At 38.5% G+C, this 25,999-nt stretch overlaps 1 protein-coding gene across 3 annotated transcripts in view, besides 4 other annotated features; it reads left to right on the forward strand.

The window, feature by feature from the left end:
• Nucleotides 1-25,999, forward strand: part of CDCA2 (cell division cycle associated 2) — a 48,987-nt gene that overhangs the window by 19,724 nt on the left and 3,264 nt on the right. For 2 of the 3 annotated variants that reach the window (NM_001317906.1, NM_152562.4), the window contains 7 exons: nt 1,259-1,470; nt 4,745-4,832; nt 5,312-5,556; nt 7,105-7,183; nt 8,592-8,680; nt 9,898-10,035; nt 24,719-24,890. In NM_001317906.1, coding sequence (NP_001304835.1) covers nt 1,259-1,470; nt 4,745-4,832; nt 5,312-5,556; nt 7,105-7,183; nt 8,592-8,680; nt 9,898-10,035; nt 24,719-24,890 — 1,023 coding nt within the window. Of the gene's footprint in view, nt 1-1,258; nt 1,471-4,744; nt 4,833-5,311; nt 5,557-7,104; nt 7,184-8,591; nt 8,681-9,897; nt 10,036-24,718; nt 24,910-25,999 lie in introns of all 3 variants that reach the window. The other variant, NM_001317907.1, reaches the window with a different exon arrangement.
• Nucleotides 518-1,717: an enhancer, noted in NCBI's record as "CDK7 strongly-dependent group 2 enhancer chr8:25336688-25337887 (GRCh37/hg19 assembly coordinates)". NCBI's record gives its function as "activates an origin of replication core promoter dependent on BRD2, BRD4, P300/CBP, MED14 and CDK7 cofactors, with strong dependence on CDK7, by STARR-seq in HCT116 cells {active_cell/tissue: HCT116}" and the evidence as "EXISTENCE:reporter gene assay evidence [ECO:0000049][PMID:35650434]".
• Nucleotides 2,445-2,946: an enhancer, noted in NCBI's record as "H3K4me1 hESC enhancer chr8:25338615-25339116 (GRCh37/hg19 assembly coordinates)". NCBI's record gives its function as "activates a minimal SCP1, AML or CMV promoter by ChIP-STARR-seq in primed H9 embryonic stem cells {active_cell/tissue: H9 hESC(primed)}" and the evidence as "EXISTENCE:reporter gene assay evidence [ECO:0000049][PMID:30033119]".
• Nucleotides 2,947-3,446: an enhancer, noted in NCBI's record as "H3K4me1 hESC enhancer chr8:25339117-25339616 (GRCh37/hg19 assembly coordinates)". NCBI's record gives its function as "activates a minimal SCP1, AML or CMV promoter by ChIP-STARR-seq in primed H9 embryonic stem cells {active_cell/tissue: H9 hESC(primed)}" and the evidence as "EXISTENCE:reporter gene assay evidence [ECO:0000049][PMID:30033119]".
• Nucleotides 12,762-13,262: an enhancer, noted in NCBI's record as "H3K27ac hESC enhancer chr8:25348932-25349432 (GRCh37/hg19 assembly coordinates)". NCBI's record gives its function as "activates a minimal SCP1, AML or CMV promoter by ChIP-STARR-seq in primed H9 embryonic stem cells {active_cell/tissue: H9 hESC(primed)}" and the evidence as "EXISTENCE:reporter gene assay evidence [ECO:0000049][PMID:30033119]".

Below are 25,999 nucleotides of genomic sequence, written 5' to 3' on the forward strand. Positions count from 1 at the left end.
TGGGCCTCTGCTATGCCAGGTACATCTTTACCTCAGGTCTTTGCACTTGGCTTTGTGTGCATAATGTCCATCCCTAGATCTATGTGTGGTTCGCCTTGTTCTTTTCAGGTGTCTGCTCAGGAACTCTCTGTTTACCCAAAGCAGTAGCACTTCCTTCCAGCTTATCATACTGTATTCCTCTCTTGCTACATTATTTTCCTTAATAGCATATATTAACTACTTGTTGTGTGTGTGTATATATATATATATATATATATATTAACTTTTTACTTGAAATAACTATAAATTTGCTATCTAGTTGTAAGAAATAATATAAAGAAATCCAGTATTCCCTTCACCTAGTTTCCCGCAGTAGTGACATGTTGCATAGCTACGATATATTAATATCACAACCAGGAAATTGACATTGCTACAATCCACCAACTTGTTTTCAGATTTCACCAGTTTTACATGCACATACTTTTTGTGTATGTTTAGTCCGTGTGGTTTTATCACATGTGGATTCATGTGAGCACAGTACAGCCAAGCCACAGCATGGTTCTGTCCTGAGGATCCTCATGTTACCCTTCATAGCCATCACTCTTTCCCTCTCCCTCCTCCCTGCTGTGAGATTTTATAATCCCTGCTTATTCCGTGCTGGTTTTGGGGGTTTGCTCATCTTTACTTCTTCAGCACCCAGAGGAGTGCCTGTCACATCATGTATTTGTTCAATGGATCACTTAATCATAAGGCAACGCTCTCCTGTGGGAAGAATTTGGGAAGAAAAGCCACGCCTGTTTGGGGCACATACAGTGTGTTTATAGTTTGGTGTGATGATCTTTCTTTTCTCATTCCTGCCACCCTCGGATGTTGAAATGCCTGTGACTCTAGCGGTAAAATTGCTTATTAGTCAATGCTTGGCTCAGATTAGTTTTTATGGTCCAAGTAGTGGGTGTCATGAGTAGAGGCACGCTAATAGCTTATAGCTGATTCATGATACCTTCTTTCAACCTCTGACTCAGAGATTTCCTGGGGAGCCAAATCCCCATACCCACTTTACCCTTCGTAGTCCGATTTGAGGTAAAAACTGACCGATGCTGCTTCTTTACCTCCTTTTCTGTTTCCAAATGAAATCCCAGACGTTACTGCCCAATCAGGTTATATTAGGTTTGAATTTCTTCATAGCATGTTATTATCTTTGCAAATACTATATTTTTGGTCTAGAACAAACAGATTTAAGAGATCTTCTGCCTCTCAAGTTTACATGTTTATCTTGAAGCACTAAAGGTTGCTGACTGTGTAGTGGGCAAAGGATCAAGTGATGCCGTTTCGCCTGACACGTTCACAGCAGAAGTGAGCTCAGACGCAGTCCCTGATGTCAGGTCACCAGCTACTCCAGCCTGCAGGAGGGACCTTCCCACCCCCAAGACCTTTGTACTTCGTTCTGTACTGAAGAAACCCTCTGTTAAGATGTGTCTAGAGAGCTTACAGGTAAGAAGAGAGTTAAATTTCCTAAAGCAAATGAATAAAAATGCATTTTGCTTCAAAGTAATACCCTTGAAATGTCATATATCATGCTAGTTTAAAAGGAAATGTCTTACTCGTCTTACCGTAAATTTTTTTCCTCATCTTTTCTTATTAACAACACTGGGTGTAGTTTCTTTTTGTTCTTATTTTTAAAAAATTAAGTATCGTATATAGCATGCAGAATTTAATGTAAGTAGACTGTAGTTTATAAAGGGTCATAATCTTACATAATCTTATTGCACTAACATAATTATATGTTATTGATTCATTTTATATAATTATATAAGTGATATTAATTACTTAATCATAATTAATGTGTCAATCTGTTAAACTGATCATTCCACCCAAAATATTTAGTCTTAAAAGTACCTCTTATAGCCATCCTTTTTTCTCGAAGCTCAGTCAATATGAGGAAAGAGAAAGTTGATGGGAACTAGCTGGCATTTATTGAGTAGTTTCTGTTGACAGTTCTGGCATATATATATAACAGTAGTGCTCCGAGAAAGGTATAGGACCTGTTTGACATACACTTAGGCTTGTAGGTTGTTAAGTGAACCCAGATAAGTCTGCTGTTAAAATCCATGACAGGCTGTCAGTCCATGAGAGGTTGAGAGCCTAGCCTCAGGAGTCAAAATGCCAAGTTTCAGATCTTGACTTGGAAATGTAATCACTGAGCAAATTATTTGACCTTTCTCTGCCTGGTTTCCTTATCTATAAAAATGTAAAGTTGGTAACTACTTTTAGAGTAATTTGAGCATTAAATGGGATAATATAAAATCACCACGAGTGTCTGGCACTTCAGAAATACAAATCTTTTTTTCAAACCATAAGCATTTTAACATACAAGTATGCCTACAAGCCTGTTCTGATTTGTTCTGAAGCCAAAAGGAACTAAATTACCTTCTATTTACATGGATCATTGATGGTCAATTGCTATTTGTAAAGCTTTAACAATTTTGTTCAAAGAGCTGATTTGGGGCCAGGTACAATAGCTCACACCTGTAATCCCCTGACTTTGGAAGGCCAACACTGAAGGATCGCTTGAGCCCAGGAGTTTGAGACCAGTCTGGGACAAAAAAAAAAAAAAAAAGCTGATTTGGGTCTGTAATACACACAGCACTGTTTGTTCATATCTTCTCCTCAAAAAGACTTAACATCTGAACGATCCATGGAACTCTTACTTTCTAACAATATGACACAGCAAATATTAAGTCTTGTCATTAGAATCATGTGAAAACATTTACAACTGGCCGGGCGTGGTGGCTTATGCCTGTAATCCCAGCACTTTGGGAGGCCGAGGCAGGTGGATCACAAGGTCAGGAGATAGAGACCGTCCTGGCTGACACAGTGAAACCCCATCTCTACTAAAAATACAAAAAATTAGCCGGGCGTAGTGGCGGGCACCTGTAGTCCCAGCTACTCGGGAGGCTGGGGCAGGAGAATGGCGTGAACCCAGGGGGCAGAGCTTTCAGTGAGCCGAGATTGTGCCCCTGCACTCCAGCCTGGGCAACAGAGCGAGACTCCATCTCCAAAAAAAAAGAAAAGAAAACATTTACAACTAATGATCTTTATACTAAGATGGCAAAAATTAGGAGGCATATAAAATGTGAGTTGTTTGCTGACTTTTCTGATTTAGTTAAAAATAAATCTAAAAGTAAACATGAGCTTTGTTGTATAAGTTAACTTATTTTGCAATATTGGTATGTACATTTTCCTGGTCAGAAAAATGAACTGACTTGAGAGACAGATGAAGGAGATTTGTTTGGGGCAGGACTATTTCTTAGAGCAGGTAATGTTCTTAGAATTGGATGTACAGGAGAAAATGAGGAATTCTTGATAACAAGGACTGGTCAGAGGTTTAGGTTGAGGCCGGATGAGTAGGTGGTGATTAAGAGGGAACTTTGATCCAGTCTGCAGCCCTGGCTGTCTCCTGCTGAGCTCCAGGGGCCCTGTGTTTAGACTCGTTCTGTCTTTTTATACAGGGCTTACAATATCCCTTCTTTCCTAACTTGCCTACACTGTATTCTTTATTTGCAGAAACACACAGGGACAACTGCTACCTTCTTTCCTTGTTTCTTCCTCAAGAATATAGTAATGTAAAAAGATTCAAATACTAAGAATAGGTGTGGTTCCCATGTTTAAAAGACAGAACACGATGTTATACCATTTAACTGTTGGCTTTTTTTCTTGTTTTAATGCAGTTCTTCTATCTGGGATCATTTACATAGTTTTCCTCATCTGACACCATATATGGTACTTGTAACCTTCAAATCTGTTGGTTCTGCATCCATGGATTGAACCAACCACAGATCAAAAATTATCAGGGAAAAAAGTCACAAAACACATAAAAACAATAACATATAACAGCATCATACCATACATATTAACAATACCATGTAACAATGCCATTTAAAAGTATTCTTTTAGGTTGGGCTCAGTGGCTCCCAGCTGTAATCCCAGCACTTTGGGAGGCCGAGGCACACGGATTGCTTGAGCTCATGGGTTCAAGACCTGCCTGGGCAACATGGCGAAACCTCGTCTCTACAAAAAAATACAAAAATTAGCTGGGTGTGGTAGTGCGCACCTGTAGTCCCAGTTACTCAGGAGGCTGAGGTAGGAGAATGGCTTGAACCTGGGTGACAGGTTGCAGTGACCTGAGATTGCACTGCTGCACTCCAGCCTGGGTGATAGAGCCAGACCTTGTCTCAAAAATAAATAAATAAATAAAAAGTATGCTTTTACATGACATTTACATTGTATTAGGTATTATAAGTATTATTTAAAGTATACGGGAGGATGTACTCAGGTTGTATGTAAATAGTATGCCATTATATAAAAGGGACTTGAGCATCCGTGGATTTTGGTATCTTCGGGGGCCCTAAAACTAATCTCCCATAGATATTGAGCAATGACCATATGCTATTATTCTAGCTACTCACGTTTTCCTTAGCTTTATTTGCTAGATCAAACATTGAATGAATTTGACCCATGTTTATTGATTTCTATGCTTTAATTTTGCCCTAAAATTCTGTTTTCTAAAGTAGTATCTAGGGGACATAGTTATGATTTGTGCCTGATATCATGGTTTTGAGCCAGAACAATTATTGAAAATAAAGGTAATCTTTAATACTGGAATATCTATCTGCAGTTGACAGAGAATTTCAAAACTGCTGTTCTTAATGATGACGTCTATGTATTTCTATATGTAAAATTATTCATTAATGTTTATTCTGTTTAGGAACACTGTAACAACCTCTATGATGATGATGGGACTCATCCGAGCTTAATCTCAAATCTCCCAAACTGTTGCAAAGAGAAAGAAGCAGGTAAGAAATTCATACTTGTTTTTAAGCTTGAGGATATCATTTTCATGTTAGTAAAACCTAGTATAATATATGAAATTTTCAATGATCTATAATGCCTTAGTGCTTCTGAAATAACACGTGAATGAAGAACAGTTGAGAAGGTTAGAATCTCCTTGGAGAGCCTCAGAATTGGTCTGTCCATTTCATGGATCCATTTTTACTTAGTGGTGGTATTTGTAAAGAAAATTTATATTTCAATTTTATTAACGTTTAATATGCAAATTTTTACTTGGAAATCTGTTGCCATATTTTAATTGGAAATGTGCTTATCTTCTCCATTTTGAATTTGCTCTACCAACAATTATTTTATAGCTTTGCTTTACTAGCTATTATACAAATAATAGCTGAATATTATCACATTAAAAGATTCTAGTATATGCCTTTTAGATAAGAAATATAGCTTAATTTTTAAGTTACTCTCATTTATTGTCTAATTATAGAAGATGAAGAAAATTTTGAAGCACCTGCCTTTCTAAATATGAGGAAGAGGAAGAGAGTTACTTTTGGAGAGGACTTAAGCCCGGAAGTGTTTGATGAATCTTTGCCAGCAAATACTCCATTGCGTAAAGGAGGAACACCTGTTTGTAAAAAAGACTTCAGTGGTCTCAGTTCCCTGCTGCTTGAGCAGTCACCTGTTCCTGAGCCATTACCTCAACCAGATTTTGATGACAAGGGGGAGAATCTTGTAAGTATGAAAAGCGTGGAACAAGCTTGCCATATGTATTTTCATCAGGCTTCACCTGCTTTGCATGAGCAATAACTATGCTTTGAAATAATGAGATAGACTAAATGATATGCCATGGTTTAAATTAATCTATTTTGTATGTAGGTTTTTATGAGTTTTTGCCCATTACAAATAATACTTCCCTGACTCCTTGTACATATTGAACAGATTTATGCCAATGAATTTAACAACTTAGGTAAACTGGATACATTCCTTAGAAGACACAAATTACCAAAACTCACTAAAGGTGAAATAAATTACCTCATTATCCCTATATCAACTTAAGATATTTAAATTTTAGTTAAAACCTTCCCACAGAGAAAACTCTAGGTATAGATGATTTTTTTTTTTTTTTTTTTTGAGATAGGGTCTTACTCTGTCACCCAAGCTGGAGTGCAGTGGTGCGGTCATGGCTCACTGCAGCCTCAACCTCCCAGGCTCAAGCTATCCTCCCATATCCTCCCGTCTTAGCCTCCCGAGTAGCTGGGACATGGGCACACATCACCATGCCTGGCTAGTTTTTGATGATTTTACTGATGAATACTACCAAACACTTGAGCAAGTTAAAATACTAATTCTACACAAGTGTTTCCACAAATTGAAGGGGTAGGTTAATTGATGTCAGCATTGTGATTTCAGCATTAACCTGGTGCAAAATCAGACAGGCATTATAAGAGAAGAAAACTACAGTTCAGTATCCTTGTAAACATAGCAATATATAAAAAGATAATACATCATAACCATGTGAGATTTAGCCTTGGGCTGCAAAGCCATTTAATGTTTGAAAAACAATCAGTGTAATCTGCCTTGTTAAAAGACTAAGACAGAAATACGATCATCTGAGTAGTTGCAGAAAAAGCAGCACACCAACATGGCACGTGTATACATAACAAACCTGCATGTTGTGCACATGCACCCTAAAACTTAAAGTATAATAATAATAATAATAATAATAATAATAAAGAAAAAGCATTTAACAAAATATAGTATCCACTTCTCATTTAAAAAATAAAACCTCTGAGCAAAATGGTAATAAAAGAATTTCTTCAAATTGACTAATGTCTATGCAAAACCAACAGTTAATGTCTTACCAACAATTATGTGGAAAAGATTTGCTATCTGTATTTATATTGCCATCTTACTCTGGAGTTCCCTGAATAACATTATAACGTTAGATTGTGTTTATGAATGAATTTTTAAATTTTCTTTATAGGAGTTAGAAATTTAGCAGTAGATCATTATGTGTACTTTCGCTTATAAATTTTCTTAGTAGTTTGATGGATTGCAGTTAGTAAGCATTTCATTGCAAACATGATTGGTAAATGGTATACATATATTTTTCTATTCAATATCTTTGTTTTGCTTTGAATTTTAGAATCTTTTATTGATTACCCATCTTTATGCTTATTATAGTTTCTCCTACCAAAATAAATTCTTACTCTTCTTTTGGGCACATTATGTATTCACTGCATTTAAAGATATCTAACTTCTGTCTTTTCCTTTGTTTAGGAAAACATAGAACCACTTCAAGTATCATTTGCCGTTCTCAGTTCTCCTAATAAATCATCAATCTCTGAGACCCTTTCAGGTAGTAACTTGTTTATCTTAAAATCATAAATGTCATTTTTTATATGTGTATATGTTGATTATTTTTGTTTTCTTTTAAAAATTTCATATTTGTTACCACAACATATACTTGGTTTAAAAACACCTAATAGTATTGGGAAGCTGACATGAAGCTATTCATCCATCCCTTTTCCATTCCAAGCCTCATACTTCATAATCACCCAGAATTTACTTCCTCAGATGGAATCCCCATTTTGTTAGTTGCTAGAAGCAATGGAGTTAGCCTCTCAACTCTTAAGTATCAATGACAAACTGCTATTCACAGTTTACAGAATTGACATCTGGATTGTAAGGATCATTCTTAAATATCCAGACTTTTTCCTCAACATTCATTGTGGCGTTTTTAGCACATGTGCTTTCCAAGGTCTCTGGATTTTTTATGATTATGACAAAGCAACAGATTGCTCCCAGCTTTTCTGACAAACCAGGACTTAGCTGGCAGGTGTCATGGGCCAGGCACCTTTATTCAGGTGTCTTCCCTGGCGGAAACCCCTTAATGGCTTCTTGTTGACACAAACCAAACCTAGTAGACTCCAAGCCATGTGTTACTAAGTTAGAGCTAAAATTTGAATCACAGTCTATCACATTCCAAAGGCCATACCCTTAAACATATTATACCACCTTTCATTTATATCATTAAAAGTCTGCCAGGTGCGGTGGCTCATGCCTGTAATCCCTTTACTTTGGGAGGCTAAGGCAGGCAGATCACTTGAGGTCAGGAGTTCAAGACCAGCCTGGTCAACTTGGTGAAACCTGGTCTCTACTGAAAATACAAAAAAAAAAAAAAAAATTAGCCAGGCATGGTAGCGGGTGCCTATAATCTCAGCTACTCAGGAGGCTGAGGCAGAAGAATCACTTGAACCGGGGAGACGGAGGTTGCAGTGAGCTGAGATTGCACCACTGCACTCCAGCCTGGGTGACAGAGTGAGACTCCATCTCAAAAAAAACAAGTGGTCAAAATAAAATTTTCCTATCCTACACTTTAAATAAAATTTAAAACAAAGTATTTTCATGGTTATCTTAATGTCCTTTATTGCGATTTCATTATACAAAATGTATCGTGGAATAAATGGGTGTTCATGAAAATACATGCATTTATTGTAATGTGATTTATTCTGCTATCTTAGCTTGGTAATATGTTAAGCAGTCACCATGGAAAGTGGCGAAAGTTTCTGAGTATCCAGTAAACTTAAAATTTTTTAAAACAAAAAAAAAAAATTGGATTTCAAAATTTCTGCTGCTTGGCTCCTCTTTTTTTTGTTTAGATATGGTATTAAAGGTGGATATCCTAAACACAGTGTTTCCAAAGGAAGATGTATGTTATAGTTTTTGGTTTCCTACCCTGATTTAGCTTTTGTCTTGTTTATCAGGCACTGATACCTTTAGTTCTTCAAATAACCATGAGAAAATATCCTCTCCTAAAGTTGGTAGAATAACAAGGACTTCTAACAGAAGAAATGTAAGTGTTTGTGTTTGGCACAACGTATTTGTTTTTAAATCGTGCAATATACTTTTCTGTTTTCATGGCCAAATGATAATGGGTGAAATCTTAGTTTAATCAGTGTCATTAAGAATTAATACTTTGGCCAGGCACCGTGGTTCACGCCTGTAATCCCAATGCTTTGGGAGGCCGAGGCAGGCGGATCATGAGGTCAGGAGATTGAGACCATTCTGGCTAACACGGTAAAATCCCATCTCTACTAGAAATACCAAAAAAATTAGCCGGACGTGGTGGTGGACGCCTGTAGTCCCAGCTACTAGGGAGGCTGAGGCAGGAGAATGGCATGAACTCAGGAGGCGGAGCTTGCCGGGAGCCGAGATGGCGCCACTGCACTCCAGCCTGGGCGGAGTGAGACTCCGTCTCAAAAAAAAAACTAATACTTTATCCTACCTAGCATGTAACCTATAAGGTGATAGTGTGTTTCTGATTTGATTTTAATTCTATTAGAAGAAAAATCTAGAAAGATGCTTTCAGAGCTGTGTTAACATGGAAGTTAACAAAATTTGTTTGGGATCTATATGATTTTATGAATTTCGTTGAGGTGAAAATGGAGAAGATCAGCATGTAATTAACAGAACCAGAAAATAATATAAGTATAATCTTTTTTAAATTGTGCTTCAGTCTGTTTTTTAACACTGGGTTTCAACTGGGAGTTATATATAAGCATAACTCCCATTGAATGCATGTCTTTTGCTATTTCGTTAAATTAGATAAAATTTGGATTTTTGTTTATAACATCATAAAGTATAAACATATACTGTTATGGGGTATTTAGCTTATAGGGTTGGATATTAAACCCAGGATTCAAACCTAGATAATCTAAAAATTCATGATTTTTTTCCCCATAACCCAGTAGTTAGGTGCTAAATTGTAGGTTCTTAATGAGTAGTTGATGAGTGAATAAATTAACGAATTCTTAAGCTGTTTTTTCTTTCTTCCCTAATATAATTGGGTAATATATGTATACTTCTGGGTCTGCATTTGATAGTTCAGAAATTGGTAATTACCATTTCCACCAATTTTCATCAAAGTGCTTTTAATAAGGTTTGTGAATTAAGAATAAATGGGATCTAAAGTGGTAGAAGCATCCTGGGAAGCACAACAAGAGTGAGAGCAGCACATTAACATGTAATTGCTTGTGCTTTACGGTATCCTACTTTACACTTTCTTTATAGCAATTGGTCAGTGTTGTAGAAGAGAGTGTTTGCAACTTATTGAATACAGAAGTTCAGCCTTGTAAAGAAAAGAAAATTAATAGGAGGAAGTCTCAAGAAACAAAGTGTACAAAGAGAGCACTTCCTAAGAAGAGTCAGGTAAGCATGTGTTTAAAGATATAATAAAGAGTAGAAGTGGTGTGTTTCCTTATTGTATAATTAGGAAAATATAGAAACACATTTTTTTCCAGTTGACTTTGGACCAAGATTATTAATGCAATCTTACCGTGGAGTAGAATGGGGTGGGGGGGTTATGTACTTAACTCTGAATTGCCTAAGGAACACTTTTGCGTCTTCTTCATCTTCTTGTGTTGCGTACTTCCTGCACAGTAAATTAATAGGCACTCAAACCTGAAATTCTCATTCTCATCTTTGAATCTACCCCAACATATTACCCTATTGGGAATCCTGATTTTTTTAGGCAGGGATGAGTGTGCCGCTTGCTACTTCTTAGATTCTCTTCTTCCAGTTGCTGAATCAAATTTTTCCCTAAATTTAAGGGAAAGTTTAGAAACTAGCTCTCAGTCTTTCTTAACACTTCTGGTCGTCTCAGATACCCTTACAGTCCATGTGGTTAGCCAATTTAACACCTTAACCCAGTTCCTTTTCCTTCTCCAGCTCAGTGATCTGGACTCCACACTCCAAAGCCACCTACTCACTCTTGCTGCCATTCTTACAACTTGTTACTGCCCGTGTAGCAGTGCTCATTCTCTGACCCCCAACTTCCTGTCCATCCAGCCTATTCACTCTCTTACTCTGCAGTTCCTTCTGTACTGCTAAGCTTTCAGATACACCTGAAGTTCATGTTTCCCTCTTCATCCTGAACTGAGTGAACTGTTTCCAACTCTTGTCAGGAATCTCAATTCCGGATCCTTTTCCTTCCACCTCATCCATCCAGCAAAATTTCCAGTCTGACTGAGTTATCCTCTCTTCCATCTGACATAGCCCCTAGAGACACTCACACAGGAGTTGGGGATAGTACTACTACACATTCACTGACATCTGGCCTTCTTCTTCACCACTTTGCCGCTTCACTTCATTTTTAATACTAAAGCCAGTGCATACTTTTCAGTTCTGTTCTTAATGGACATCTTAGCATTTGACATGATGGAACACTCCTGTACAGTCTCTAAGGTTTGTTTTCTGTCCCCCATTGTTAAATGTTTGTGTTTTCCAGAATTCTCTTCTTTGCCCTTGTAAATTGTTTATCTTCTGGGTAATTTCATACACAGCATGGTTAATGACCATATATGAAGACCAGAACTTCCTGATCTGTAAATCTGTGTTCAACTACGTACTAGACATCTGTCTTTAACCATGCTATGTCAAAATCAGCATTTCTAAAACTAAACTTATCAACCTATACACCCACCCAAAACATTCCGTAAACTTCCTTCCCCCTCTATGAAATAAAAATGACTGCTTTTCTTGGTTGAGTAGCACAGATATCCTTAAGTCATTAAATCCGGAAGGAACTAGGTGTTTTCCTGCTTTAGTTCCTTTTTAGGTCACACACTCTTGATAAAATGATGAAAGATTATCTTGCTGAAAAAATACCATTAATTCAAAAATATACATACAACTTATTACATTAGAAATTGATTTCCTTCGTGTGTGTGTGTATATATATTTTAAAGCACTCTTACAAAGAATATACACCTATTCATATAAAATTACGGCCAGAAAGTACAAAAAGGATTGAGCATTAAGTCACTGCAATCCCTCCCAGGACCTTGCTGAATTAATACCATTTAGGTACTAAAAGGAATACACTTAGAATAGCAATGAGAGGAGGAAAGGGATGAGGAGGGGTATTGAGAAGCCGACGACAGCCTTCAATGAATTTCTAGAAGACCAAGCAGATGGGAGCATGTTGACAGATAAAAAAAGGTGGAAAGATTTACAGTTCAGAATGTGCTAGGAGGGAGCTAGAGAGGAGCTGGGAGCCGGCCTGTTCATGGGAATCCCAGGAGACCCTGGCCCAGAATTGGCAGGTACGATGGATGGTGAGAGTGAGAGGTGGTACTGAAAAACAGAGAAATGAATTGAAGTCCTATACGTGGGACAGTTTGCACCAGTTGGCACACCAGCCTCCTCCCACCCTGATGCTCAGAACAGATGTTGTCATCTAGATTAAAGCCCTCATTCTGGCATTTGGAAAGTCCCACAGTCTTGACAGCCAGCTCTTGCCCTAATGCAAATCCTGACAGTTGACCCTCCAGTATTCTGCCCCACCCTAGGTAGGATTTCCACGCAGGAAAGAGACTGAGCTGGAAAGCAGAGGAAACCTATATACCAACTTACCCAATCTTAAATAAGAAACAAGGCAATTGAATAGAACAAATAGCATGAAAGTGAAAAGACCAATGTTAATAAGGTTAAAAACTGACTTCAGAGAAATAGGTTATTCAAGGAATAGAAGGAAATTTTACATACATAAATACTCCACTCCAATTTAAGAAAATATCATCTGCATAAAAGTAAGGAGATACTATGAAAAAGGAATTGCAAAAACATAAAATTTAGTAGTTGGACAAAAGAATTAAAGTTAAGGAAAGTCTCCCAGAAGATAGAGCAAAAGAAAGACTGGAAACGAGAATCTAGGAGACACCATAGGACTCTTAGGAAAAAGAAGGAGAAAATAGAATGGGAGAAGTCATCCAAATAAAAGAAGAGGATTTCCCAAAAATAGAATGGAAGAAATTATTCAAATAAGAGGATTTCCTAGAACTGAAGAAAGGAGTCTTCAAGTTAAAAGCGCCCACTGAATAACTGGTACAATGAAGAAGGGCCAGGGGGTAGGCCTGTAACTGTGAAACTGAACAATAAGGATAATGAGGAAAGTGGGCTTTTCCTACAGAGAAATAAGAACCAGAGTGGCATCAAGACTAGCAATAGCCGGAAAGCTACAAAATCATACAAGAGTTCATTTAAAGCTTAGAAGAAAATTTCAACCGAGTATTCTACACCCAGCCAGTCTCAATTAAGTGTGAAGGAAAAAATAAAAGACATTTGAGTGTTTCTTTTTTTCTTTTCTTTTTATTTTGAGAGAAGGTCTCACTCTCACCCAGGCTGGAGTGTAGTGCTGTGGTCACTGCTTACTGCATGCTTGACCTCCCTGGCTCAAGTGATCCTCCCACCTCAGCCTCTTGAGTAGCTGGGACTACAGGTGCACGCCACCACGCTTGGCTAGTGTTTTTTGTTTGTTTTTTGTTTTTCTTTTGAGATGAACTCTTGCTCTGTTGCCCAGGCTGGAGTGCAGTGATGCATGATCTTGGCTCACCACAACCTCCACCTCCTGGGTTCAAGCAATTCTCCTGCCTCAGCCTCCCAGTTAGCTGGGACTACAGGAACGCACCACCATGCTCGGCTAATTTTTGTATTTTTAGTAAAGACGGGGTTTCACTATGTTAGCCAGGCTGGTCTCAAACTCCTGACCTCATGATCTGCCTTCCTCGGCCTCCCAAAGTGCTGGGATTACAGGCGTGAGCCACCACGCCTGGCTGGCTAATTTTTTTTTACTTTCTTGAAGCAGCGGGGGGTTGGGGGGTCTCACCTTGTTGCCCAGGCTGGTCTCAGACTCTTCCTGGGCTCAATCACTTCTCTCACCCCAGCTTCCCAAAGTGCTGGGATTACAGGCTTGAGCCAACATGCCCAGCCAGAAAGTTATTTTTCTTTGGATGCTACTGGAGGAGGAACTCTAGCAAAATGAGGAACTAAGCTTAAGAATTCAGGACACAACGGATCTAACAATACAAGAGCGCAATCAAAGGGAAATCGCTGGTTGTAGCTGTTCAGCCAGCCTAGAAGAGCAACCAGTCCAAATTTGAGCAGGGAGAAGGAGCTGGAGCTAAAAAACGGAAAAGACCTGTGATTGAAAGAATGAATGGTATGAAAGGTATGTCACATAAGAAAAAAACGGTAATTATATACCATTTCAAATAAAAGTCTATATAAAAGTTTTAGAGTAAATATGAAGGAAACATTACTGTGATTTCAAGCAATAATGCAGTATAAGGAAAAGTAGATTTTATAGTGCTAGGAATCATCTCCCTCAAGGGGCCCGGAGGAGAAGAAAAGAGTATGAAAGCTGTACTTGGCAGAGCCGTGAAAAATGTTTGCAGTCATAATAATACAGATGCTATTTGTTTTCAACTAAGGACGAAGCTTTTAACAACTTGGTTGTTGTGCAGGACAATGTGAGTATTAACAATCTAATGATAGGAAAATGTAGTTAATAGCAGAAGGTGAAAAGTGAGTTAAGGTAGAAACAAGGGGGCTAATGGTGTGCTGGTAAGAGTGCAGACTCTGGACCAGACCCCTGGGTTTAAATCCTGGGTTCATTCCTGCCTCCAGTGCAATGCTGGGTAAAATTCTGGACTCTGTTTTGTTTGTGTGTTTGTTTGTTTGTAAAACAGTGGTGGAAATGGATGTTAGAAGCTTCTGAATCTTAATGAATTCATGCATGCTCAACTCTTAGAACAGTGCCTGGCCATAGTAAGCTTTGTGGTCATTATCATCATTATCATGAGACATTCAAGATATATATTTTAAAATTTAATGAAAAGAAATAGAAATATAAAAGTTCAATGTTTACCAACTGAAGAGCCACAATTAACATAGAAAAGAGGCAGGTTTGGTTTTAAATGAGCAGTTTTTTCATCTTTCATAGCAAGATGTTGACAGATAACTAAAATTAGATTAAATGCCACTTCTCAACCAGAAGTAGCATTAGAATCCTCAAGAGTAAATTCCTTTATAAACCAGAAATGGAGAAAGTTCCCAAAGTGTGACTCAAAAACCAGAAACAGTGAGGGCAAAGGATTGGTGAATTTGATATCTTTTGAACCATACAGCATGGAGCATGCGTAAGGAAAAAAATCCCCATAAGAAAATTTAAAAGACAAAGAACAAGCTTGGGAAAAGTATTTGCAACTCATATCAGACACCAAGGATTAATGTCACTAATATTTGAAGAGCTTCTAAATTACTTAGAAAGGAACAGTCTTCAAAAGATAACAAAACATTTACAAAACTGAAATGAAAATGACCTTCAGCACAGGAAGAAAATGTTCAGACTTCCTCATCATAAGAGAATTGCAGCTGTAACGTGCATTGAGATGCCGTTTCTCACCTTTTAGATTACCAAAAATCTGAAAGTTGACAGCATACTCACGTGGTAAGGCTATGGGGCAAACAGGCACACTCATACATTTTCTGCTAAAGCAGACCTCTGTGGAGGAGTATTTGGCAGTATCTGGCCAAATTAAATACTCATTTGTCCTTTGACCCAACAGGCCTATTTCTAGGAATCCATCTCAAAGATCCACTGATCAAAATACAAAAATATATGTTTATTTATTGCAGCATTCTTTGTAAAGCAAAAGACTAAAAGCAAACCATATGCTCATCAATATGAGACTTGTTGAAAAAACTATGGTGTTTCCACAAAGCGAGTATTAGGCAGCTGTAGAAAGTTGTGAAGAGAACTTCCATACACTTCTATACAGTGATGCCAAGGGGACACAGATGGCCCTCTATATACTGTTGTCCAGCATCTGTGGTTGGTTGAATCAAAAACACTCAGGGCTGGGTGAGGTGGCTCACACCTGTAATCTCAGCACTTTGGGAGGCTGATATTGGAGGATTGCTTGAGGCCAGTAGTGCGAGACCAGCCTGGTCAACATAGCACAACCCCATCTGTATTTTCTTAATATATTACTTAAAAAAAAAAATTCAGAAAAACCCAATAACAATACAACAATTAAAAAAATAAAAATTTTAAAATACAGCATATTAACTATGTAGCATTTATATTGTACTTGGTGTTAAGTCATCTAGAGATGCTTTAAAGCATAGTTATTATGCTGTATTTTTACAGTATAATGCTGTAAAAGGAAGTTTACATATGCTCTATGCAAATACTGTGCCATTTTATGTCGGGGACTTGAGTATCTGCAGATTTTTGGTATCCACAGGAGGTCCTGGAACCAATTTCCCTACAGATACTGAGGGATGACTGTGTTTACTGTTAAAATGAAAAAAGCATGTTATAAAACAATATATGTGGTCAACTACTGGTTATGGACTGAATTGTGTCCCTTCCCAAATTTATATATTGAAGTCCTAACTCCCAGGATCTCAGAATGTGACTGTATTTGGAGATTTGGTCTTTAAAATAGTTATTAATTTAAAATGAGATCCATAGGGTGGGTCCTAATCCACTCTGACTGGTGTTCTTATAAGAGGAGGAAATTCGGACCCACATAAGGACACCAGGGACGAGTGTGCATTGAGAAATAACCATGTGAGGACACAGCAAGAAGGTGGCCATCTGAAGGCCAAGGAGAGAGGCCCCAAGAGACACCAGCCCTGCCAACACCCTGATCTTGCACTGCTAGCCTCCAGAACTGGGAGAAAATTAGTTTCTGTTGTTTGAACTACCTAGTTTGTGACATTTTATTACAGTAGCCTTACAAACTAATACATTACCCTTTGTCTAAGAAAGTAGAGTACACATATAGTTTTGATTTTTCAGTTGAAGAATAAACCAAAGAGAAATAAAAAACTGGCTATAGGGAGAAGGGAGGAGACAGGAGAGAATGTGAATGCAAGCTAGACTTCGTTAAGTGTGTACTGTTTTTCAGTTTTGATTGTGGGACCATTTAAATGTTTTACCTGACTATGAAACAAAACTAAAACTAGTAGAAAGAGAACAATCTCTAATAAGCGAAAGCAAAATTTGACAAATTCTTACTATGTCAAGTTGGTGGCTTAACTTCATTAAGAATTTTTTCAAACCTAGAAATTTGAATATAAGTGGGATAAATCTTTTTTTTTTTGAGATGGAGTCTTGCTCTGTCACCCAGGCTAGAGTGCAGTGGCGTGAGCTCGGCTCACTGCAAGCTCCGCCTCCCGGGTTCATGCCATTCTCCTGCCTCGGCCTCCCGAGTAGCTAGGAATACAGGCACCTGCCACCACGCCCGGCTAATTTTTTATTTTTTATTTTTTAGTAGAGACTGGGTTTCACCATGTTAGCCAGGATGGTCTCGATCTGCTGACCTCGTGATCCGCCCACCTCGGCCTCCCAAAGTGCTGGGATTACAGGCGTGAGCCACTGCGCCTGGCCCTATAAGGGGGATAAATCTTAAGGACAAAAATAACTGCAAAGAAATTATAAACAGTATGAAACACTCAATAGAAGCACTGAATTTAGAATAAAGCAAATAAGCAATTTTTCCCATCATTAAGAATCAAGATGTGCACTCAGAGACAAAAGATATATTTTTAAATCCAACAAATTTAAAACTTTGGAAGACTAAATTTGAATTGGAAATAAGAGTAGAAACTCATTTTATTTTCCATTTAAAAGAATTGTCCAGCTCTATCCATTGATAAAGCTTAAAATTCATGAGCATCCCTGGTGCATAGATTATCATTAGACATACCAGTTAAAAGGGGTTAGGGTCCCTTGGTGAAATGGCTGCTTTCAGATTTACAACAACAAATTTAATAAGTGAGCCTGGTTGGGTCTGTACCAGAGTACAAGGAAGGATGCTAAAAAAAACTACTGGTGTCATGTTAACAGACACAAATCCATCTTCAAGGGACTTACACTGACCAGATATGATCATCAGCATTGCAAAGCATTGAAGTACAATCATGAAATAACACATAAGTTTATTACTTTTTTTTAATTAATGGACACTTTAGAAGCTTGCTAGGATACCCACTCATTTTTCTGATAACAGGAAAATAAAATTTGAGCTCTATTTCAGGTAAACAAATAGTTGATGAGGGAAAAGTTGTTTATAGAAGAATTTCAGGTAATAAAAGAAATGCTCAACAAAGCTGCTTAAAACGTTTGATAAAAGGCTGATGTGACATAGTAACAATCAACAGAGGAAAGAAACACCGTATAGAATGGGAGAAGATACTGTAACTACAAACCATACATCTGATAAGGGGTTAATAGCCAAAATGTATAAGAAACTCAAACAGCTCATTAGCAAGAACACACCAATTTAAAAATGGTCAAAGGTCCAGAATAGACAGTTCTCAAAAGACATGCAAATGGCTAACATCACTAATCATCAGGGAAATGCAAATTAAAACCACAATGAGATATCACTGGCTATTATCAAGCAGATGAAAGATTACAAGTGTTGGAGAGGATATGGAGAAAAGGGAATCCTTTGTACACTATCAATAGGAATGTAAATTGCTACAGCCTGTTTTGATTGGCAAAGTCAACTAAAAATATAGAACTGAATCTCTAAACAAAATGTTTTATTTGGGAAAACGTAATTGCAGTTTGGGGCAAACACACAGACCGAGGTGGTCTTTGATATGTCCTAAGAACGTAGAAAGTTGGGGTTTTTAGTAGAAAAAGAAATGTTACATATTATTTAGAAAAAAAACTCACTGGCCCTAAGCAAAATTTTGGGGAGCTGGTAAACTCTGGTGAGTGATGGTGGTAGTTAAATTTAGTCTTACAGTCCCAAGTGCTTTTTTTCCCCTGGTCTCTGGACTCTAGTTGTTTATGACACAGTGACTCCAAATAATCCATTTTCACAAGCCATTGTGGGAAACATTACGGGGGTTCCTCAAAAAATTAAAAATAGAACTACCATATGATCCAGCAAATCCCACTTCTGGGTATGTATCCAAAGGAAATCAGTATATCAAAGAGCGATAACCAAGTTACAGACTCAAGCTGAGTATCCATCAACAGGTGAATGGATAAAGAAAAAATATGTGTGTACACACACAACAAAATGCTATTCAGCCTTAAAGAAATCCTGTCATTTTGACAGCATAGAAGGACCTTAAGGGCATTACGTTAAGTAAAATAGTCCAGGCACAGAGAGACAAGAAGATCTTACTTACATGTGGAATCTTTAAAAAATAAAAAATAAAAAAAAAAAAAACTCACAGAAGCTGAGAATAGAATGGTGGTTGTCAGGGGGGCTAGTGGCTTGAGTGGTGGGGGATGAGGAGATGTTGGTTCAAGGGTACAAAGTTTCAGTTAGGATGAGTAAGTTCTGGAGATCTGTTGTACAGCATGGTGACTAGGAAATAATAATGTATATGGGAAAATTGCTAAGAGATGACATTGTAAGTGTTCTTGCCATAAAATAATTATGTGAAGTGGTGGATATGTTAGTTTAATCATTTCCCAATGTGTACATATGTCAAAACCTCTCATCCACCATGCTATATGCAATTTTTAATTTGTTGGTTATACAATTGTATTCAAATTTGCCCATCAAAACTGAATCTAATCAAGCTTCTAGATCTAATTACCAATTTATAGGACATGGAGGAACATAGACTCACCTACTGTAGTGAGCCAAATCTAGGACTTGGCTAATTCTATAGGAAAAATGCCTCAATTTACTCACCAAATAAATGTCAAGGGAAGTAAAAAAGGAGCCATAGAATAAAAGAGACTAAAAGACATGAATCAAATGGTATGTGTGGAGATCTTATTGGGGTCCTGATTAGAACAGTTGTTTTAGAAAAAGAAATTATGGGCCAAGGGAGAAATTTGAACTTTGAGGAGATACTAGGGAAAATTGCCATCATGGTTTTTGTGTTTTGTTGAATTACATTTTGTTTTGTTTTGTTTTGTTGGAATGGAGTCTCGCTCTGTCGCCCAGGCTGGAGTTCAGTGGCACGATCTCGGCTCACTGCAACCTCCTCCTCCCCGGTTCAAGTGATTCTCCTGCCTCAGCCTCCCCAGTAGCTGGGACTACAGGTGTGCACCACCATGCTCAGCTAATTTTTGTATTTTTAGTAGAGACGGGGTTTCACTATGTTGGCCTGGCTGGTCTCAAACCCCTGTCCTCAGGTAATCTGCACCCCCCCCCCGCCCCCCAGGCCTCCCAAAGTGCTGGGATTACAGATATGAGCCTCTATCCCTGGTGTACATTTTAAGTTTTGTGATCATTTTGGATACACACACTCTTCTAAGAAGTAATGCAGAAAGATCCCAAGTACCCTTTACCTAGTTTCCCCCAATTGTGACATCTTGCGAAACCATAGTTCAGGGTCGCAGCCAAGATATTGATACAGCCGAGATCCAGACAGCTTTCCCATGGCCCTTTGTAGCTACATCCACTTCCTACCCATAACCCCGCCTCATCCCCTGGCAACCACTAATCTTTCTTCATTCCTACAGTTTTGTCATTTCGAAAAGGTTACCCAAATGGAGTCATGTACTGTGTAACTCGGGGACTGGCTTTTTCACTCAGCATAATTCTCTGGAGATTTGTCCAGGTTGTTATGTGTATCAGTAGTTCTTTTTATTGTTGAACCATATTTGTAATTGTCTCTAATAGAAAAAGAACCTTTAACTCTTCAAGACACTGCAGGATTTTCAGATGAAATGATGTGTAACGTCTGGGATTTGCTTTAAAATAATCTGGGGTTAGGGGAGTATAGATGAATCATGATTTCTATGTGCTAGTAATTGTTGAAGTAGCTGATGGGTACATGGGGTTCTGTACTTTTTGGGTGTTTGAAATTTTCCATAATCAAAAGTTAAAAATATAGCAGTATGAGCCCTTTATCAGAGAGAGGGAGCTAACTGCAAGAGCTAAAAGTGGAGCCAGCAGATAAGTAAGCACCAGGGGCAGGCAAGTGTGTGCTTGATCACCGTAACCTCTCCTATATGGTGTGATTTGTTGCCATGTCCATGAATTTTTTTTTTTTTTTTTTTTTTTTTTTTGAGACAGAGTCTCTCTCTGTCACCCAGGTGGAGTGCAGTGGCTCGATCTCAGCTCACTGCAGCCTCCGCCTCCCAGGCTCAAGTGATTCTCCTGCCTCAGGCTTCCCTAGTAGCTGGGAGTACATGGCTTACCACCACACCCAGCTAATTTTTGTATTTTTGGTAGAGACGGGGTTTCGTCATGTTGCCCAGGCTTGTCTCGAATTCCTGAGCTCAAGCAACCCACCCACCTCGGCCTCCCAAAGTGTTGGGATTAAGGGCATGAGCCACCGTGCTGGCCTGAATTAGTTTTTAAAAATTTTAAAGCTATTCTCTGAAAATAATTTAAAGAAGTCTTAATTATGCAAATAAGACAAAAGATAAACATTTACTTCTGCCTCCTGACCTCCTTCACTGTGTGAGAAGAGGAATCAGTGATTTTGGAGTAAACGAAATTGCTTTAGGGACAATCCCTTCAGTTGTTCTTTGGCGATTCTAAGCCATAATCCACCCTAACCATTTATTGATCAAATGGCTTCCCCCGGGGGTTCCAAGCATATACAACTTCTTCTGTTATTACACTATCAGCAAGGCTTTTGTACTGTGGTGAATTCAGATTTTGATAAGTTTGTGGCCTTTGCTGATGAAATCTTCTCATGACTAAGATCAGCTCTGCCAGATGTATTTTCAGGACAGACAGACAAACCTGAGGTGCTTTAATTGTTCTTTTTTGGGAGAGGTGGGGTGGTAATATACTTCTCTTGGCCCATGACCATGAAAAAACAGAAATTTAGTCTTTCAATCATGTTGAGCAAATTTTATGTAAGCTTAACTGTACTTCTTTGACCATTCATTCATTCATTCATTCGTATTTGTGGAGTAGCCACTGTGTGCTTGGCACTGTTGTAGATCCAGGGACATAACTTCCAAAATCATGTGAAGAGGGGATCTTTTTTTTTTTTTTTTTCCCCATATATCAGAAGCTATTCTGGCGATTATAATCTGGTGGCATTGCCCACAGTGTATTAACTGACCACACTGGGTCTATGCCCTACAATAATACTAATAACATAATTTAATATTAAAAATTAAAAGTATATGAAGTAATGGATATGTTCATTAGCTTGATTTAATCATTCCACAGTGCATACATATATCAAAATATGGTGTTGTATGCCATACGTATATTCAATTTTTGTCAATTAAAACTTTTTTTTCTATCTTTTAAAAAGGGTCACTCTGTTGCCCAGGCTGGAGTGCAATGGTGCAATCATAACTCACCGCCGCCTCAACCTCCTGTGTTCAAGCAGTCCTCCTGCCTCAGCCTCCTGAGGAGCTAGGACTACATGTGTGTGCCACCATGCCTGGCTAAAAAAAATAAAGTTGTCATGTTTTTCCTCATATTAACTCTCAAGTAATGGAAAAGAATTTGAAAGAACAAGATAGCTTTTACCATGGGTCAGGCCCTACATTAACCAGCTCTATCACATGTCAACTCATTTAATATTCCCCACAGCTTTATGTGGAGTGTGCTGTTGTGATTTCTGTTTTGCAGAGGAGAATGAGGTACAGAAAGTTGACTTGCCCAGGGTTATAAAACAGTTAAGTAACAGAGTCAAGACTTTAACCCAAAGTATCTGCCACCAGAGGCCATTTTTTTTATTTATTTATTTTTTGCAACTTATCTGTGAGCCCCAAGTTAAGATTTTTCTTTTCTCTTGGCTTTCAGGTTCATTGACCAAGCCAGCATTTCCCCAACTGTTCCACGGAATGTCAACAGATGTTCCATGAAAAAAATATTTACTGGAAAAATATTTAACCCAGCATTTTCCTAATGTGTATAGAGATTATTTATACTGTGGACTTCTCATAGAATTTCATGTTAAATGTACACTGTAAATCACCAGGAGGAACATTCATCTTGTACAGTTCTAAAATTATTTTTCCGTGGAATGTTTTGTTTTCACAGGATATCTATAGATTTCTCAAGGAGCACATAGTTTTGTGCCATTTCTGTACTCTTGAATCTCACCATTAGTTTCACCTATATATTCTGTGCTGTCACCCAAATGACCTTTCTTAAATTTAAGATCAAACGTTGACACTCTCGAAGTCACCATGCAGTGAGCCTTCATTGCTTTCATTCAAGTCACTGGCAAGGGCTCTGCTCCTGCCACTCCTGCATGGATCCACGGGCCGGGCCATGTCTTGCTGCATGCAGCCCTGCACCTGTGCTGTGCTGTCTCACTTTGAGTTCATGCACATGGCATTCCCTTCTCTTTGAAGAGCCTTTCTGCATCGCCCCCATAGTAGGCCAAAACAGCCCTTGCTTGTTTGAGATTTGACTTAGACATTACATTTTCCGTGGAGCCGATCTTGAACACCTCCTACAGGCCAGGTGCCCACCTTCACAGTTCACACAGCCAGTCATGGTGCGTGTGTATGGTCACTCCTTTACTTTACACCAGCAGCTCCTTGAAGAATACATCCTCTTTGCTTCCAGATCCCACACCTGGCAAGTTATTACCTGGCACACAGCAGTCTCAATAAATGTGTGAATGAATTCCACTTTCCAGATGTTTGTTTTTGTTTTTGTTTTGTTTTGTTTTGTTTTTTTGAGACGGAGTCTCACTGTCGCCAGGCTGGAGTGCAGTGGCGCGATCTCGGCTCACTGCAACCTCTGCCTCCCTGGTTCATGCAATTCTCCTGCCTCAGTCTCCTGAGTAGCTGGGACTACAGGTGCGCACCACCACGCCCAGTTAATTTTTGTATTTTTAGTAGAGACGGCTTTCACCATGTTGGCCAGGATGGTCTCGATCTCCTGACCTTGTGATCTGCCCACCTCGGCCTCCCAAAGTGCTGGGATTACAGGCGTAAGCCACCACGCCTGGCCTGTGTTAATTGTTAATATGTTTTATGTTGGCCCTAAATTCTGGTTCTCTTCAACATTGTCACATTGAATATATTTCATTCCTTTCGCCCATAACAGTCTGTCTTTCTAGTATTTCAGTACAGCATTTCCCCAAGGTCTTTTCCATATGAAACTTTTTTAAAAACATAAAACATTATTTCTTGGTTGCTGATACGTTACTCAGAATTGAATGTAATACCCCATTCCGGATATTATTAAGCGACTTTTAATTTTTATGGAAACCTACATTTTCAGTCAATTAATGTCAGACCTTTGTCTTCCATCTTCTGCTTGTGCTTGTTAAAATCCATTTTGTTTGACTGAATCTTGATTAAGTCATCTGTTGTTTGAATCTGCAGGTTCAGCTAGCTTTGTGTTTTCTTCATATTTTACATACACACCTCCTGTTTCTTCATCCGGACCTGGGAGCATAAAGCAGTCTCCCATAGCTTGCAGTATGTAATTCACACTAGGTTAATCCTGAGTCATCACAACTGTGCGTCTTACAGATATCTCATGACATTATATCTGTGCAGTTCTAAAGCATCTTATATATTTTTTCATTTATCCAGCCCTAGTTTTGGCAAGTGCCTTGTGGAAATGTAGAAAGCTACCATACAATTTATAAACTGAATCCTGCTTTGTAGTTTATTTGACTTTGTGGAAGTTACCTGACTTCCTACCCTCGATTTAGATGCTTACAACTTTAAATGAAATATAAAAGTTATCTATGCAATAAAGCACTGTATGAACAATAATTAGAGATATTATAGAAGTTGAAGGGTCAGACTGGGCATTGTGGCTCACACTTGTAATCCCAGCACTTTGGGAGGCCAAGGCAGGAGGATCTCTTGAGCTCAGGAATTTGTGACAAGCCTGGGCAACGTGGTGAGATCCCATCTCCACCAAAAATACAAAATAAAAAGCCAGTCGTGGTGGTATGTACCTGTGGTCCCAGCTACTTGGGAGGCTGAGATGGGAGGCTTGCTTGAGCCCAGGGGCAGAAGTTGCAGTGAGCTGAGATTGTGCCACTGCACTCCAGCCTGGATGACAAAGTGAGACCCTGTCTCAAAAATAAATAAAAATAACTAGTTAAAGGGTCAAAATTTTACATGGTGCTACATCTTTCTCAATTGCAATGTTTTAATGCATTTTCTCAGGTTTTAAAAAGTTGCAGAAAGAAGAAAGGAAAGGGAAAGAAAAGTGTTCAGAAATCTTTATATGGGGAAAGAGACATTGCTTCTAAGAAGCCCCTCCTCAGTCCTATTCCCGAGCTGCCTGAAGTCCCTGAGATGACACCTTCCATTCCGAGCATCCGAAGACTGGGTTCAGGTATCCTGACATTTTCCTGGTAGTTATATTTTATCTTTTCTCTTCACCCTCTTTGTTGCTATTTTACTTTTTTCACTTTTTTCCCATTCACTATGTAAAGAGTACGTAAATTTTAAAAAGCAATGTTTCCTCACATTACCATGAGGATTTCAAATGGAGGAAACAGTCACGTGTAACTTGTAGGTGACTTAGATCCTTTTCAGAATCTGATGGAAACTGGATCCTTTCCCCAGGAAAACCGAGACACAAGATTTTGCATATAATATCAGTAATAATTTCTGTGCATCCTGTTTCCTTTTGTTTTTTAAAGCATTTTGTGAAAATAAATTCCATTTGGTGGTGTAGTCCATCGTTGAAAGTGAACGAGAGCTGGGGCACCTGCCTGTGATCCCAACCATTTGGGAGCCTAAGGCGGAAGGATTGCTTGAGTTCAGGAGTTTGAGGCCAGCCTGGGCAACATAGCAAGACCCCATCTCTTAAAAAAAAAAGGAACAAAAAAAGTCAATGAGGTGATGATTCAGTAATATGTATACCTTATATGAGTTAAGGACAATGATGTTTTGTTAGAGTTGGCACTACTGTTTTCTAAAAATAATACATATAAATTGAGCTTGATTACCTTGAAAGTTATTTTATTATCAAGTCAGTTGATATATGGGGTAGATAAAAAATGGACTGGAATTGTTTCTGGTTTCTAATGCCCAAATTTTAAATGGACTGAATCTTGCTGAAAATAATAATGATTTTTTTTTTTTTTTTTAATTTTTAGTAGAGATGGGTGTCCCTGAGTTGCCCAGGCTGGTCTCAAACTCTTGGGCTCAAACAATCTTCCTGCCTCAGCCTCCCAAACTACTGATATTACAGGCAAGAGCCACGCTGTCTTGCCTGAAAATGATAATGTGTGTCCATTTGGTGTGTTGATTTGTATAGAATCATTTTTCAAATGGCTACCTTTGTCAATCATCAGATATTTATAGCCTACCTCCTATTTGCGGTATACCATACAAGATTAATAATAGACTTGAGGATGAATGAGGTACATGCCACCATTGACTCCTGGCTTCTGCGTCCTGCTTAACATTAGGATAGCACAGGAGTTTAAATAAACA

This window comes from Homo sapiens, chromosome 8, assembly GCF_000001405.40.
Source record: "Homo sapiens chromosome 8, GRCh38.p14 Primary Assembly".
Classification (NCBI taxonomy): domain Eukaryota; kingdom Metazoa; phylum Chordata; class Mammalia; order Primates; family Hominidae; genus Homo; species Homo sapiens.